Source organism: Homo sapiens, chromosome 9 (genome assembly GCF_000001405.40).
Source record: "Homo sapiens chromosome 9, GRCh38.p14 Primary Assembly".
Lineage (NCBI taxonomy): Eukaryota > Metazoa > Chordata > Mammalia > Primates > Hominidae > Homo > Homo sapiens.
Window position 1 is genome coordinate 83,860,229 of NC_000009.12, and position 17,732 is coordinate 83,877,960.

The 17,732-nt window shown below is 38.9% G+C and overlaps 1 protein-coding gene across 33 annotated transcripts in view; it reads right to left on the bottom strand.

Annotated features, from left to right (window-relative positions):
* Positions 1 to 17,732, bottom strand: part of KIF27 (kinesin family member 27) — an 87,334-nt gene that overhangs the window by 26,130 nt on the left and 43,472 nt on the right. For 26 of the 33 annotated variants that reach the window (NM_001271927.3, NM_017576.4, XM_011518848.4 and 23 more), the window contains 2 exons: positions 10,291 to 10,404; positions 7,456 to 7,632 (listed from right to left, as the gene is read on the bottom strand). The exons of 2 other annotated variants lie outside the window; for them this stretch is intronic. In NM_001271927.3, coding sequence (NP_001258856.1) covers positions 7,456 to 7,632; positions 10,291 to 10,404 — 291 coding nt within the window. Of the gene's footprint in view, positions 1 to 7,455; positions 7,633 to 10,290; positions 10,405 to 17,732 lie in introns of those variants that run through there. 5 more of the 33 variants (XM_047423578.1, NM_001354069.2, XM_011518854.3 and 2 more) reach the window with 2 other exon arrangements.

Below are 17,732 nucleotides of genomic sequence, written 5' to 3' on the forward strand. Positions count from 1 at the left end.
ACTATCATAAGGTTTATAACTTTAAAAAAGCATTCCCCTCCCCCAAGCTTTTAATTGAATCCTACTCCAAGACGGCCACCTTCAACCTTTTCAGTTGGTTCTTCTGGTGTTTATGTCCATGTTTCTAAATGGCATTATCAATTTTAGACATTGTCTACTGACTATGTATTATGGGAGATAAGGATTTAGCACTCTTGTACCTACTCTACTTCCCAACCTCCTCCATTCTCCCAATATAAGTTACATTACAGTTTTTAGTTAAATCAATATTCATTTTCATTATTATAACTTTGTTATTCATAGGTGAACTATCTAGTGTGAAATGATCATGCTTCTGTTTTGATACAACTTTTTATTGCACCTTATAGCTAATTCTTCTCCAACAGAACTATAAAATTCCTCAACACTTTTTCATTTATCAAACTTATCAGGAAATCTTTTCAATCTATTCTTTTCTGGAAACATTTTGCCTGGAGCATCCATCCTCCTGCTCCACACTGGACCAGTTGTCCTGGGTCTTCCCTTTGGTATTTCCTGAGAATTTCCATGTTGGAGCACATTTTCAGAATCCTGAGTCTTCCTTTTTCATAGTTTGTGCCCTTATTTTTGTGGAGCACATTCTCTAGTAGTTTCCCTGGATAGGCTTGATGGGAGATTTTTTTTTTTTTTACCTGAAAATGCTTATTCTAGCTTCACATTTGATTGTTTGGCTAAGAAGAAAATTATTTATTAGACTTAATTTTCCTCACGAGTTTAAAGATTGCTTCAGATCTTAAACTTCTAATGAGGAAAGCTGAGAAGTCCAATGCCATTCTGATTCTTGCAACTTACAAGTAGTCTTTTTTGTCTAGACGCTTTCAGGACCTTCTTTTTTCCTCAGTCAGTGTATCCAAACCTTCACAGTGATATCTTTTGGGTACTCATTTTGCTGGCCCCTTGATGGGCTATTTCTTTATATATATATATATAACTTTAAGTTCTAGGGTACATGTGCACAATGTGCAGGTTTGTTACATATGTATACATGGGCCATGTTGGTGTGCTGCACCCATTAACTCATCATTTACATTAGGTATATCTCCTAATGCTATCCCTCCCCCCTTCCCCCACCCCACAACAGGCCCCGGTGTGTGATGTTCCCCTTCCTGTGTCCAAGTGTTCTCATTGTTCAATTCCCACCTATGAGTGAGAATATGCGGTGTTTGGATTTTTGTCCTTGCAATAGTTTGCTGAGAATGATGGTTTCCAGCTTCATCCATGTCCCTACAAACCACATGAACTCATCACTTTTTATGGCTGCATAGTATTCCACGGTGTGTATGTGCCACATTTTCTTAATCCAGTCTATCATTGTTGGACATTTGGGTTGGTTCCAAGTCTTGCTATTGTGAATAGTGCCACAATAAACATATGTGTGCATGTGTCTTTATAGCAGCATGATTTATAATCCTTTGGGTATATACCCAGTAATGGGATGGCTGGGTCAAATGGTATTTCTAGTTGTAGATCCTTGAGGAATCACCACACTGTCTTCCACAATGGTTGAACTAGTTTACAGTCCCACCAACAGTGTAAAAGTGTTCCTATTTCTCCACATCCTCTCCAGCACCTGTTGTTTCCTGACTTTTTAATGATTGCCATTCTAACTGGTGTGAGATGGTATCTCATTGTGGTTTTGATTTGCATTTCTCTGATGGCCAGTGATGATGAGCATTTTTTCATGTGTCTGTTGGCTGCATAAATGTCTTCTTTCGAGAAGCGTCTGTTCATATCCTTCGCCCACTTGTTGATGGGGTTGTTTTTTTCTTGTAAATTTGTTTGAGTTCATTGTAGATTCTGGATATTAGCCCTTTGTCAGATGAGTAGATTGCAAAAATTTTCTCCCATTCTGTAGGTTGCCTGTTCACTCTGACGGTAGTTTCTTTTGCTGTGCAGAAGCTCTTTAGTTTAATTAGATCCCATTTGTCAATTTTGGCTTTTGTTGCCATTGCTTTTGGTGTTTTAGACATGAAGTCCTTGCCCATGCCTATGTCCTGAATGGTATTGCCTAGGTTTTCTTCTAGGGTTTTTATGGTTTTAGGTCTAACATTTAAGTCTTTAATCCATCTTGAATTAATTTTTGTATAAGATGTAAGGAAGGGATCCAGTTTCAGCTTTCTACATATGGCTAGCCAGTTTTCCCAGCACCATTTGTTAAAGAGGGAATCCTTTCCCCATTTCTTGTTTTGTCAGGTTTGTCAAAGATCAGAGAGTTGTAGATGTGTGGTATTATTTCTGAGGGCTCTGTTCTGTTCCACTGGTCTATATCTCTGTTTTGGTACCAGTACCATGCTGTTTTGGTTACTGTAGCCTTGTAGTATAGTTTGAAGTCAGGTAGCGTGATGCCTCCAGCTTTGTTCTTTTGGCTTAGGATTGTCTTGGCAATGCGGGCTCTTTTTTGGTTCCATATGAACTTTAAAGTAGTTTTTTCCAGTTCTGTGAAGAAAGTCATTGGTAGCTTGATGGGGATGGCATTGAATCTATAAATTACCTTGGGCAGTATGGCCATTTTCACGATATTGATTCTTCCTACCCATGAGCATGGAATATTCTTCCATTTGTTTGTATCCTCTTTTATTTCATTGAGCAGTGGTTTGTAGTTCTCCTTGAAGAGATCCTTCACATCCCTGGTAAGTTGGATTCCTAGGTATTTTATTCTCTTTGAAGCAATTGTGAATGGGAGTTCACTCATGATTGGGCTCTCTGTTTGTCTGTTATTGGTGTATAAAAATGCTTGTGATTTTTGCACACTGATTTTGTATCCTGAGACTTTGCTGAAGTTGCTTATTAGCTTAAGGAGATTTTGGGCTGAGACGATGGGGTTTTCTAGATATACAATCATGTCATTTGCAAACAGGGACAATTTGACTTCCTCTTTTCCTAACTGAATACCCTTTATTTCTTTCTCCTGCCTGATTGCCCTGGCCAGAACTTCCAACACTATGTTGAATAGGAGTGGTGAGAGAGGGCATCCCTGTCTTGTGCCAGTTTTCAAAGGGAATGCTTCCAGTTTTTGCCCATTCAGTACGATATTGGCTGTAGGTTTGTCATAAATAGCCCTTATTATTTTGAGATATGTCCCCTCAATACCTAATTTATTGAGAGTTTTTACCATGAAGGGCTGTTGAATTTTGTCAAAGGCCTTTTCTGCATCTATTGAGATAATCATGTGGTTTTTGTCTTTGGTTCTGTTTATATGCTGGATTACATTTATTGATTTGCGTATGTTGAACCAGCCTTGCATCCTAGGGATGAAGCCCACTTGATCATGGTGGATAAGCTTTTTGATGTGCTGCTGGATTCGGTTTGCCAGTATTTTATTGATGATTTTTGCATCAATGTTCATCAGGGATATTGGTCTAAAATTCTCTTTTTTTGTTGTGTCTCTGCCAGGCTTTGTTATCAGGATGATGCTGGCCTCATAAAATGAGTTAGGGAGGATTCCCTCTTTTTCTATTGATTGGAATAGGTTCAGAAGGAATGGTACCAGCTCCTCCTTGTACCTCTGGTAGAATTCGGCTGTGAATCCGTCTGATCCTGGACTTTTTTCGGTTGGTAAGCTATTAATTATTGCCTCAATTTCAGAGCCTGTCATTGGTCTATTCAGAGATTCAACTTCCTCCTGGTTTAGTCTTGGGAGGGTGTATGTGTCCAGGAATTTATCCATTTCTTCTAGATTTTCTAGTTTATTTGCATAGAGGTGTTTATAGTATTCTCTGATGGTAGTTTGTATTTCTGTGGGATCGGTGGTGATATCCCCTTTATCATTTTTTATTGCGTCTATTTGATTCTTCTCTCTTTTCTTCTTTATTAGTCTTACTAGCAGTCCATCAATTTTCTTGATCTCAAAAAACCAGCTCCTTGATTCACTGATTTTTTGAAGGGTTTTCTGTGTCTTTATCTCCTTCAGTTCTGCTCTGATCTTAGTTATTTCTTGCCTTCTGCTAGCTTTTGAATGTGTTTGCTCTTGCTTCTCTAATTCTTTTAATTGTGATGTTAGGCTGTTAATTTTAGATCTTTCCTGCTTTCTCTTGTCGGCATTTAGTGCTATAAATTTCCCTCTACACACTGCTTTAAATGTGTCCCAGAGATTCTGGTATGTTGTGTCTTTGTTCTTGTTGGTTTCAAAGAACATCTTTATTTCTGCCTTCATTTCATTAGGTACACAGTAGTCATTCAGGAGCAGGTTGTTCAGTTTCCATGTAGTTGAGCGGTTTTGAGTGAGTTTCTTAATCCTGAGTTCTAGTTTGATTGCACTGTAGTCTGAGAGACAGTTTGTTATAATTTCTATTCTTTTACATTTGCTGAGGAGTGCTTTACTTCCAACTATGTGGTCAATTTTGGAATAAGTGTGATGTGGTGCTGAGAAGAATGTATATTGTGTTGATTTGGGGTGGAAAGTTCTGTAGATGTCTATTAGGTCTGCTTGGTGCAGAGCTGAGTTCAATTCCTGGATATCCTTGTTAACTTTCTGTCTCATGGATCTGTCTAATGTTGACAGTGAGGTGTTAAAAGTCTCCCATTATTATTGTGTGGGAGTCTAAGTCTCTTTGTAGGTCTCTAAGGACTTGCTTTATGAATCTGGGTGCCCCTATATTGGGTGCATATATATTTAGGATAGTTAGCTCTTCTTGTTGAATTGAGCCCTTTACCATTATGTAATGGCCTTCTTTATCTCTTTTGATCTTTCTTAGTTTAAAGTCTGTTTTATCAGAGACTAGGACTGCAACCCCTGCCTTTTTTTGTTTTCCATTTGCTTGGTATATCTTCCTCCATCCCTTTATTTTGAGCCTATATGTGTCTCTGCACGTGAGAGGCCTAGAGCCTCACATTACTGGTGTTGAGAAAATTTTTTATATGATGTCTTTGATACTCTCCTCTTTTCTGTTTTCTCTGTTGTATCTTTCTGGAATTCCCATTACTTGGATCTTGGGCTTTCTGGATTTATCTGCCAATTAAAAATGTTTTGCTCCTACTTTCTATTAACTTATATTTTTACTTACTTTTTGGAATATTTCCTCAACTTTATCCTCTGACCCTTTTTTTTGAGATGGAGTTTTGCTCTTGTCACCCAGACTGGAGTGCAATGGCATGGTCTCGGCTCACTGCAACCTCTGCCTCTCAGGTTCAAGTGATTGTCCTGCCTCAGCTCCCAAGTACCTGGGATTACAGGTGCCCACAACCACGCCTGGCTAATTTTTGTATTTTTAGAAGAGACAGGGTTTCACCATGTTGGTCAGGCTGGTGTCGAACTCCTGACCTCCAGTGATCTGCCCGCCTTGGCCTCCCAAAGTGCTGGGATTACAGGTGTGAGCCACCGCGCCCTGCCTATCCTCCAACCCTTTTAATTTCCAAGAGCTCTTTCATGTTTTTAATAACTTGTAGTTATTTATAGATAGTCATCTTTTACCACATTGAGGATATTAAGATTTCTGTGAAGTTTTTTTCAGCTTCTTGCTCTATCTCTAATGTCTCTGAGTTTATTTTTTCCTTTTGTTTTGTTTTCTGTCTTTAATAGTGGCATTCCTGAAATGTCCATCATATTTCAGAGTCAGGTATCGAAAAGCAGATAAGATTTGTGGTAACAGCATATACGTGGGCCACTTATTTAAGTGGGGGCTTCCAAATTTAAGAGTTTTCATATCTTTTTAGATGTTTCAGAAAATATGCCAATCTCCGGCTAGGAAGTATAAATCTGGCTGCCAGCATTCTTAGATCCAAGTAGAGATTAGGAAATAGATGTTTCACGATTCATATGCAGACTTGCATTCATTCCCTACCTGGAGTTTTTTTGACTTATCACAACCTTTGCTGTGCCTGGTTCAATCTTCAGAAAATAAATCGGTCCCAGAGTAAGAAAAAATAGTTTCATGACTATGCCCTGTTTTCATCTTTATGCTACTCCTGCCTTCTGAAAATCTTGGTCCCTTCATTTCTGAGTCTTTTTGATGTTCTATGTGAATTTTATCTCTCTAAAACTGTTATTTTTAAAAAAGGAAAACATCTAAAGCATTCCTAAAATGCCCATCACATTTCAGAGTCAGGTATTAAAAAGCTGGTAAGATGTGTGGTGATAGCATATATGTAGGGTCTTGGCCTGGCTCTCATTTGTGTCTCTCTAGGTACTTGGAATGCAGCATCTTCTGTTCTGCTAAGTTAATAAGCTCTCATCTATTTGCTTTCCATCTTTTCTTTTTTTGTAATCTTTTGTCCTCTGTTATCTCCTCTACTGTCTTTTCCCTTTTATGGCTTTTCAAAAAACATAATAGCTTTAATGAGATATAATCTACATACCATGCAGTTCACCAATTTAAAGTATATAACTCAAGGCCGGGCATGGTGGCTCATGCCTGTAATTCCAGCACTTTGGGAGGCCAAGATGGGCGGATCACAAGGTCAGAAGTTCGAGACCAGTCTGACCAATATGGTGAAACCCAGTCTCTACTAAAAATACAAAAACTAGCTGGGCATGGTGGTGTGCGCCTGTAGTCCGAGCTACTCGGGAGACTGATACAGGAGAATCGCTTGAACCCAGGAGGCAGAGGTTGCAGTGAGCACAGATCGCGCCACTGCACTCCAGTCTCAAAAAATTAAAAAAAAAAATGAAGTATATAATTCAATGGTTTTTCATATATTCACAGTTATGTAACCATCACCACAATCAATTTTATATTTTATTCACCCCCCCCCCAAAAAAAGAAACCCCACACCTATTAGTAGGCATTCTATTTCCCCCGCAATCCCCCACCAACCCTAGGTAACCACTATTCTAGTTTTTGTCTCTGGACAGAAATGGAATTGCCCATTCTGGAGACTTGATACAAATGGTATTATACAAAGGTGGTCTTTTGTGACTGGTTTCTTTCACTTAACATAGGTTTTCAAGGTTCATCCATGTTGTAGCATGTATCAGTACTTCATTCCCTTCTATTGTCAAATAATACGCTATTGTATGGATAATCACAGTTTATCCATTCATCACTTGATGAACATTTGTGTTGTTTTCAGTTTTTAGCTATTATGAATAATGTTACTATGAATGTTCATGTTCAAGTTTTTGTGTGGATACATGCTTTCATTTCTCATGGAGAAATACATACAGAGATAGATCTATCTATCTATCTATCTATCCATCCATCCATCCATCCATTAATCCACCCACCCACCCTCCCACCCATCCCTAGGAGTGAGATTACTGGGTCACATAGTATCCGTAAGTTTAGCCTTTTGAGGAACTACAAAATGGTTATCCAAAGCAATTGCACCATTTTCCAATTTCACCAGCAGTGTATGAAGGTCCCAATTTCTCCACCTCCTCCCACACATTTCTTATTATGTTTTTCTGATTATAGCCATCCTAGTGGGGAGTAGGGAGTGGTTTACAACCAGAATCAAGTAGTGTATTAAACAGAATACCTGACTAGATCTCAATTTCTTATTTTCCAGGTGACTCTTCTCCTGTAACAGAGCCTCCTTCTTAGAAACTATGGCCTCCCGTTTCTTTAAGTCTGCTTCCAGCTCCTCTAATTCTTGGCGTTGGTTCAGAACTTTCTCTACTTCTTCATCTAACCATTTCTTTTGCTCATCCAATTTCTACATTAAAATTAAAAAAAAAGTTACTTGTTTTTCCTTCTGCCATAAAAATTATATGGTAATAATAGAATTTCAGATTGGCTGAAATCTCTTAAATGAACATTTAAAAACTATCACTCAGAGTAACTCAGGTAGCCGTCTGAGATCCTAAAGACATCAGTGGTTCTAGTCAAGATGTAGCTATGTTGTTTTATAAAGAATTAAAATTTACTCCCCAGATATGTTAAACAGTCTAGGATTTTTTAGCCTGACGAAGAAAGGGCTGATAATTTTCTATGCCTATATTAAGAACATGCTGGAATCTTTTACTCTGTTGTAGTGGTGCACAGTTCCATCACAGCACTTACACTGGTGGCTGCCCTACGTATCTATCTCCCCAGCTTGAGCTCCTTGATTGATTGCAGGGGCTGTAGTTTTTACCCGTCTATCCACATGGCTGGTATATTGCCTGGGCCACAGTAGGCATTCAATAAAATGTTAAATGAATGAGTGAATGAATGCCTGATTCAGTCAGTCAATGAAGTGAATAAATGAATACACACAGTGGAAGACACAGATGATGGAGGATGGAAGGAAAGCCAATTTGCATTGTAGCTTGTCAACCTCAAATAATTATTTTTAAAAAAGAAAAAAAACAAAAATAAAAAATTGCTGAAAAGATCTCCAAAACAAACATCTGAGTACTCTCTTGAATTAAGGATATGCGGAAACAAATACAAACATAAATATAGATGGAATATGACTGTTTAAAAGGAACTCTACCAAGTGGACATGGTAATGAAGCACTGCCACCAAAACAACAAATAAATAGGAAAAGAAATCCATATAGTATTATTTCCTAGTCCTTCATGAACCTTATAGAAAGGGTTTCTGGAAATCTATCATACAATGAGACAGTGAATATATATGAGAAAAAGAGAGCAAAATGGCCAAGACAAAGAAGATGCATAGCTATTCGGTCTTCCAATAATACCAATATATTAATAGTATAATCTTATAAGCACTATCATGTCCAGATAACACTGGAGCCTAAAATATTATAGTAGCTCTACAATTATTAGGAAGAGAAAGAGCAACTATAAAAATGTTAATTTTGTCATATCCTTAAATACTCCGGTAGGAGATCCTAGGAAGTCTAGCAAGTAACTTAAATATATTCTACAAACATTCTTAAACTGTGAGTGGGGTTTGAAAGATGAATAAGAGATTCTTTTTAAGCTCCACTTAAAAGGAAAAAACCTAAAAAATTACAACTGGTGATGACATTTCTGGGTGGAATGGGTGTGTATGGGAATGTACCCATGTCACTATTAAATGTCACTAAGAAAATGTAATGTAAAATTTATGAAGAGAGAATAAATCTTTCTAAAGTAAGGTAGAGATAATTGCATTCTAGGTATTTTAAATACAGTATTTTTTGCTTACATAAAATTTAAAATTTCAATTTCTTTGAACTTCAAAATTAGTTTGTGGATTATGACTTTCTTTTTAAAAGGTGGCACTAAAATAATGGCTTTTTAATATATAAAGTACATATACAATTTGGTTTTCTTTGAATGTAGAGTTCTGATTTTTAGAAATATACTTGTCTTCAGCTGGGCGCGGTGGCTCACACCTGTAATCCCAGCACTTTGGGAGGCCGAGGCGGGCAGATCATGAAATCGAAACCATCCTGGCTAACATGGTGAAACCCCGTCTCTACTAAAAATACAAAAAATTAGCCAGGCGTGGTGGTGGGCACCTGTGGTCCCAGCCACTTGGGAAGCTGAGGCAAGAGAATGGTGTGAACCCGGGAGGCGGAGCTTGCAGTGAGCTGAGATCATGCCACAGCACTCCAGCCTGGGTGACAGAGCGAGACTCTGTCTCAAAAAAAATAAAATATACTCGTCTTCATGAGATGGGAATAAATACAGTCCAGTGAACATGGATTTCATGTTTATATTCTACAACATTCAAATCAACTCATTTCTACCAAAATAAGAATATATTGATTCTGCTGAGAGCAAGAAAAAACAAAAAATACAGCACATTTCTGGATGAGAACATAATTTTGTAATAATAAAAGTTTCACTACTTGGGCAACAGGATTATTAGAAGCCCAAATCTTAGCATCACACAATATACCCATGTAACAAACCTGCATGTGTATCCCTGAATCTAAAATTTAAGAAAAGAAAAATAATAAAGTTTCAAAACAAATACTAGAAATTTTGCATTTGGGCGGCATCTAGTGTTTGAAGGTTTTATTCAGAGTCCACCAGTTTTTACATCTATCTATCTCTCTATCTATCTATCTATCTATCTATCTACCTATCTATTTATTGAGAGGGAGTTTTGCTCTTGTTGCCCAGTCTGGAGTGCAGTGGCATGGTCTCGGCTCACTGCAGCCTCCACCTCCAGGGTTCAAGCGATTCTCCTGCCTCAGCCTCCCAAGTAGCTGGGATTACAAGCGCCTGCCACCAAGCCCGGCTAATTTTTATACTTTTAGTAGAGACGGGGTTTTACCATGTTGACCAGGCTGGTCTTGAACTCCTGACCGCAGGTGATCCACCCACCTCGGCGTCCCAAAGTGCTAGGATTACAGGTGTGAGTTTACCTCTATTTAGACAACCATCAGATTGAAGAGAAACCAGGAAACACTAAATAGAATTGACAAACCTGGAGATGGTCTATACTTCCAAACGAACCTTTTCTCCTTTTCAAGTTACATGCATCAAGGTCCTCAGCTTTCGGTTTTAGACCTTCTTCCTGTCCTGTTTTTAATTGTATTTCCTATAGAAAAAGAAATTGAAAACACCTTATTGCTTTTACACCTGACCATTAAGTATGCTGATGACAATTATTTTCTTTTTTTTTTTTTTTTTTTTGGAGACAAGCTCTCGCTCTGTCACCCAGGCTGGAGTGCAGTGGCACAATCACAGCCTCAAACTCCTGGGCTCAAGCCATCCAGCCACATTTTCTTAACATTTACTTCCTTAGTCACAGAAAGAGAAAATGAGTAGATGACAGTTGGGGCTCTATTTGAGAAGAAAATAATGTGTGGATTTTTTTGTTTAAAAAATTTTTTTAGAGATAGGGTCTCACTCTGTATCTAGACTAGAGTGCAATGGCGTGATCATAGCTCACTGTAAGCTCAAGCTCCTGGGCTCAAGTAATCCTCTCACCTCAGCCTCCCAAGTAGCTAGGACTACAGGTGTGTACCACCACATCCAGCTAATTTTTTTTTTTAATTTTTTGTAGAGATGGGGTCTTGTTACATTGCCCAGGCCAGTCTCTAGTGATCTTCCTGGCCTCCAGTGATCCTCCAGCCTCAACTTCCTAAAGTTCTGGGATTATAGGCATAAGTCACCATGCTCAGCCTTAATTTTTAATTGACAAATAATAATTGTACATTTTCGTGAGGTACACAGTGATTATTTCAATACATATAACGTATAGTGATCAGACCAGGATAATTAGCATATCTAAGAAGAAAGGAATGTTAGCTCTTACTGAGGCAATACAACTGCAAAAATTAGGATTTACTAACAAAACTGAGCATTTTTTTCATTCTTCGTGAGTGTTACACATTAGTGTAACAAGGATAAGAGTCTGAAATTTATAAGTGGGTTATTCTCTTCTGCCTTTCTGAGCTTATTACTTTCATAGTTACTCCACCCAAGACATCCATCTGCTGTGAGTATATTAAAATTTATTATGTAGAAATGCAAAAAGAAAAGTAATGTTCAATTTCTAGTGTTCAAAAATGGGAGTTTGCAATATGAGAATAGACTTGGAAGACAGATCATGGTCTTATGAAGTGCATTTTCCAAATTAGTTTCCATCCACATCTTTTTTTTTTTTTTCTAGACAAAGTCTCACTCTGTCACCCAGGCTGGATGCAATGGCATAATCTTGGCCCACTGCAACCTCCGCCTCCCAGGTTTCAAGTAATTCTCATGCCTCAGCCTCCTGAGTAGCTGGTATTATAGGCATGTGCCACCACACCTGGCTAATTTTTGTATTTTCTTTTTTATTTTTTAGGAGAGACAGGGTTTTACCATGTTGGCCAGGCTGGTCTCGAACTCCTGACCTCAGGTGATCCACCTGCCTCAGCCTCCCAAAGTGCTGGAATTACAAGCATGAGCCACCACGCCCAGCCTCCATCCACATCTTAAGGGTCAAGTCAAGAGGTGCGATGTTGGCCAGGAGTGGTGGCTCATGCCTGTAATCCAGCACTTTGGGAGGCTGAGGCAGGCTGATCACCTGAGGTCAGGAGTTCAAGACCAGTCTGGCCAACATGGGGAAACCCCGTCTCTACTAAAAATACAAAAATTAGCCGGGCGTGTGCCTGTATTCCCAGCTACTCAGGAGGCTGAGGCACGAGAATCGCTTGAACTTGAGAGGCAGAGTACGGTGAGCTGAGATCGCGCCACTGCACTCTAGCCTAGGTGACAGAGTGAGACTCCGTCTCAAAACAAAACAAAACAAAACAAAAGGCGCAATGTTCATGGTGCCTTCTAGGGGTTTAGAAATGATGTTGTCCATCACTAAAGCTTAGCAGGACAGGAAGGAGGCCATGAGTCAAAGCTGGACAGTTCACATACTCTCTGTTACTGGTCTGTGATGGATAAGTACACAATTGAAAGTGCTGAGATACTTTTATAGCAATTTGACAGAATAATTTTATGTCTGATGACTCTAACAATTTTTAAAATGGACTTTTATTTGTATATTTTAAATTTCACTTTTCTACTAATTCATGTTTTATAAAAGTGTTAGGCTGTGACAAATTTATAACAAAATAAAAATTATACCTTCTCCACAAGTAATTTCAGAAGCACTGATAGGAAGTAAAAGAAAAGCCTAGTGCTCTCCAGCCCTGGGAATGGCAGAAAGGAGAAAAGAGACAGTAAGGAAGACTTGTTTCCCAATTGTCCTCTGTCTGAGTTTTGGTCCAGAAAGGGGGATGATAAGTAAAGGTATCAATGGGGAGAGACGGGCTCCTAAACTATTCAGGAGAGAAAATGCAGACTGCAGTGCAGAAGCCCCACACCCATATACAATTGCCCAGCCTTGCTGAAAAAGCAGAGAGGTACGATTAGGAAAGAGACCCCAGTTGGACTCCTTGGTCTCAAGTGGCTTGGATCCTGAGTTGAGAGCTAATGTAGGTAGTCACTGTGGGGAACTGGCTCCCAAACTAGGTATAAGGACAGGCCACTGGGCTAGCAAGCTAGACAGAATGCCTAGTAGCCTCAGTAGGGGCTTATAATGCTAGTGGGAGATGAGATGAAGGGAAAGCACCCCCATGCTCTAAACCAGAAGCAAGATCAAACTGCGAGTTATACCAGCCAGGGGTTTCATCATCAGGGGCCAGCAGATTAGGCAGGGTAAGGTGGACAAGGGAGCACAATTTCCAGCTGGTCACAATCCTCAACTCCAAGGCATAGGATAAAAGAAGGCTATACACCCAACTACAACATACACTGGCTGTCATCTTAGGGAGAGAAGCATAGGGAAGAGGAGGCTAAGAGACTGAGCCTTCTTATTCAAAAGACCTGAGAAGTATTTAAAGGAAGTGTTTAGATTTTTAGAACAAGGTTTGAACAGAGAGAACATTTGATTAGTTTCCACCATATTTCCAGCAATAATCATGACATGGATATAAGAGAAGTGCACTCACAAAGAAGACAGGTGCTATAGACTAAATAAAGAAAAATGTTACACCCATCTGAGTTATGAGTGAATTTGGACTCTATTATGTTTACCACCCATAGTTCTTGATGCTTCCCTAGTTCTAGTTCATAGCTATAATTTAGCCCCTGTGATAGCCCTAGACATTTCAGGATGATGAAATAAAGCTACCTTAAATAAAGAGACCTTATACTTGGAGTTGACTCTCTACGTAGTATTTCTGTTTGTCCACATACACTTTAAAAGTATACTGCACTTGTAATCCCAGCACTTTGGGAGGCCAAGGCGGGTAGATCACAAGGTCAGGAGATCGAGACCATCCTAGCTAACACCGTGAAACCCTGTGTCTCTATTAAAAAGACAAAAAAATTAGCCGGGTGTGGTGGCAAGTGCCTGTAGTCCCAGCTACTTGGGAGGCTGAGGCAGGAGAATGGCATGAACCCGGGAGGCGGAGCTTGCAGTGAGACGAGATCACACCACTGCACTCCAGCCTGGGCAACAAAGAGAGACTCCGTGTCAAAAAAAAAAAGGACACAGGAGTACTTCTAATTCCCTCTTCCACATGTTGCTCCAGACAATGCCTTTTTCCTTACATTGTAATCTTTGTTATACATATTAAAATAACTGTGTACCAGGCACTGTGCTAGACTTTTTATATCTATTTAATTATCCCATTTAGCCCTCACAACAATCCTATGATATAGGGACTATTATAAAATCCATTTTATAGATGAGGAAATGGGTGGTTAAAAAGCTTAAGATCACACCACCACCCACAATTTCAGGAATTCTCATATCTTTTCTTCAAAGCCTATCCATGGACCTCAGTTAAGAACTACCGCTCTGAAGAGAACCTATGCAGAAGTTGTACTATTCTTTGGAAATGGTTTAGTCAAGTAGAAAAGAGACAGGAGTCTCAGAGAGTTAGCTCCAAACAGACAGCAAATTTTATCCTTTAGGACTGTAAGCAGGTTTTCTGTTTTTGCATTAAGTAGAGGATACATCAATGTATCTTTGGGAAAGTCTGTTCCTTTTTCTGGAATACCTGATATCCCCCATAAATGGGTCATTTCACTAAAATTAGAGATGTGGCAAGATGGAATAAAAGTGCCCTAGGTGGCAAGGTGTGGTGGCTTATGCCTGTAATCCCAGCATTTTGGGAGGCTGAGGCAGGAGGATCACTTGAGCCCAGGAGTTCGAGATCAGCCTGGGCAATATAGTAAGACCCTATCTCTACAAAAAATTAAAAAGTGTGTGAGGTACGCTGGCATGTGCCTGCAGTCCTAGCTACTTGGGAGGCTGAGGTGGGAGGATTCCTTGAGCCCAGGAGGCCAAGGCTACAGTGAGCCATGATCACATCACTGCACTCAAGCCTGGATGACAGAGCAAGACCTTGTCTCAAAAAAAAAAAAAAAAAAAAGTGCACTAGATAAGAAGGTAAAAGTTTGAGTTACAAGCAGAGTTGCATTTCAGCAGACTTCTACTCTTTGAAGAAGACAGTGTCTTCTTTTCCCTAAGCATGGATTTAGAGAGTGCTATGTCTTGCTGGTTTAAGCCATGGCCTATGAGAGATGAGGAGTTAAAACCCAAAGACCACAACACTGAACAGCCTGGCCTGATCTTCACATTGGAAAAAGAGCTAAAACAAAACAGACTAAGTTGTTGGCAGAAGAAATGAAAATTGGACAGATTCATGGTGTTTTAAAGATATACTCTGAAGGCTTTAATGGTTCATTGGATATGCATAAGAAAGACGCAAGAGCCAATGATGATGCCTAAATTTCTAGCACACCCAACTGATATATCATGTAAGGCACATTGGAGAACTACATTTTTCCCCCATGAAGAGAGCAGGGAGTGGGGAATCATGGAAAGGTAAGTAAGGAAGATCATTAATTCATCTATAAGACAACCTAGGGAAGAGGTTGGAGCTCAAAGAACAGACTTGGGATTAAGCATTAAATTTGGAAATTTTCAGTTTAATTGTAGCCATGGAAAAGTATCCTATACTCACCTAGGATGGAGTATAGAAGAGGGCAGAGACCAGAGCCATGAGGAACTCCCATATTTAAAAGGACCGGTGGAGTAGGATGAGCTAGCCAAGACAGAGAACAAGCAATCAGGAAGAGAGGAAAAAACAAGGAAGGTATAACGTCACAAAAGCAAGGGGAAAACACTTCAAGACGGAGGGAGTGCTGAACTGTGCTGGATGCACAGTATTAAGATAAGGACTTTAGTGACAGAGAGAGCACTAGTGAACTTCTCAAGAGCTGTGAAGTGGGTGATAGAGCCAGAAGCCAGCTGGAGAGGATAAGAGAATGAATGAAAGTAGAAGTAACAGAAACAAATGCAGTCAACTTTTCCAATAAGTTTGGTTACAAAGGGGAGGTAAGAAAGGGATGGGAAAAAGGTTGAAGGAGGATAATTTTAGGATGAAAAAAACTAAGATATTTAAAGACAAATCCAGAAGAAAAAAAAAGTTGAAAATAAGAAAAAAGGATAAAAGATGACACGTACATGCTTAGCAAAGTATTGCCTGAATATAAATCTCAATAAATGTTAACTATTGCTATAATTATTATTACCATTATTATGAATATCATTATTATTATTACCAGTTCTTTTAAATATGGGAGTTCCTCATGGCTCTGATTTTTGCCCTCTTAACTTCTATACTCCATCCCAGGTGAGTATAGAATACTTTTCCATAGCTGCAATTAAACTCATACTCTTCACTGGGTTATCTTATAGTGTCAAGGAAATTTAAAAAGCAATTCCATTTATAATAGCATCTAAAAGAATATCTAGGAACAAGTTTAAGTAAAGAGGTAAAATACTACTGGTACACTAAAAATTACGACATTGCTGAAAGAAATTAATGAAGACCTAAACAAATGGAAAGACTTCCCATGCTCGTGGATAAGAAAATTTAATATTGTCAAGATGTCAATACTACTCAGAGCAATCTAGAGATTCAACAATCCTTATCAAAATTCCAATGGCCTTTTTTGCAGAAATGGAAAGGCCCATCCTCAAATTCACATGGAAAACTGTAGGGGCTCTGAAGAGCCAAAATCATCTTGAAAAAGAAGAGCAAGGTGGGAGGACTTACTTCCCAATTTCAAGACTTAATACAAACCTACAGTAATCAAAATAGTGTGATACTAGCATGAGGATAGACATATAGACCTATGGAATAGAACTGAGAGTTTAGTAACCATATATCTATGGCCAGTTGATTTTTTAAAAATAAAAATTGGGGCCAAGCATGGTGGCTCAGGTCTGTAATCCCAATACTTTGGGAGGCCAAGACCAGAGGATCACTTGAAGCCAGGAGTTCAAAACCAGCCTGGGAAATATAGCAAGACACTGTCTATAAAAAGTAGGGAAAAAAATTAGCCAGGTGTGGTGGTGTGCGTCTGTAGTCCCACTGCTTAGGAGGCTAAGGCAGGTGGATCACTTGAGCCCAGGAATTGGAGGCTGCAGTGGGCTATGATCATGGCACCGCACTTCAGCCTGGGTGACAGAGTGAGACCCTGTCTCAAAAAAACAAAATTGTACATATGTAAGGTATACAACATGATGTTTTGATATACATAGTGAAATGATTACTATAGTCAAGCTAACATATTTATCTCTTCACATAGTTAGCATTTTGGCTTTTTTTTTGTGGTAAGAGTACCTGAAATCCATTCTCTTAGCAAATTTCCAGTATACAATAGTCATCATGCTGTACACTAAGTCTCTAGACTTATTTATTCTACATAACTGCAACTTTGTACCATTTGACCAACATCTCCCCGTTTCCCCATCAGCATTTCCCTATTTCCCACTCCAGCTGATTTTTGATAAGGGTGCCAAGTCCATTCAATGGAGGAAAGAACAGTCTCTTCAACAGATGGTACTGGTACAACTGGAGTTCCACATGCAAAAGAATAAATGTGGACCACTACTTCACACCATATACAAAAACTGACCCCAAATGGACCAATGACCTAAATATAAAAGCAAAAACCATAAAACTCTTAGCAGAAAACATAAATCTTCATGACCTTGGATTTAGGCAATGGATTCTTAGACATGACACCAAAAAGCACAAGCAACAGAAGAAAAAAATAGATAAATTGGACTTCAACAAAACTAAAAATTTTTGCATATCAAAGGATATTATCAAAGTAAAAAGAAAACCTACAGAATAGGAAAAAATATTTGGAAATCACGTATCTGATAGAATTTAATGTCAGAATATGTAAAGAACTCATACAACTCAACAACAAAGACAAAGAACCAAATTAAAATGTGGACAAAGAACTTGAATAGACATTTCTCCAAAGAAGATTTATGAACAGCCAATAAGCACATGAAAAGATGCTCAACATCATTAGTCATTAGGGAAATGCAAACCAAAACCACAATGAGATACAACT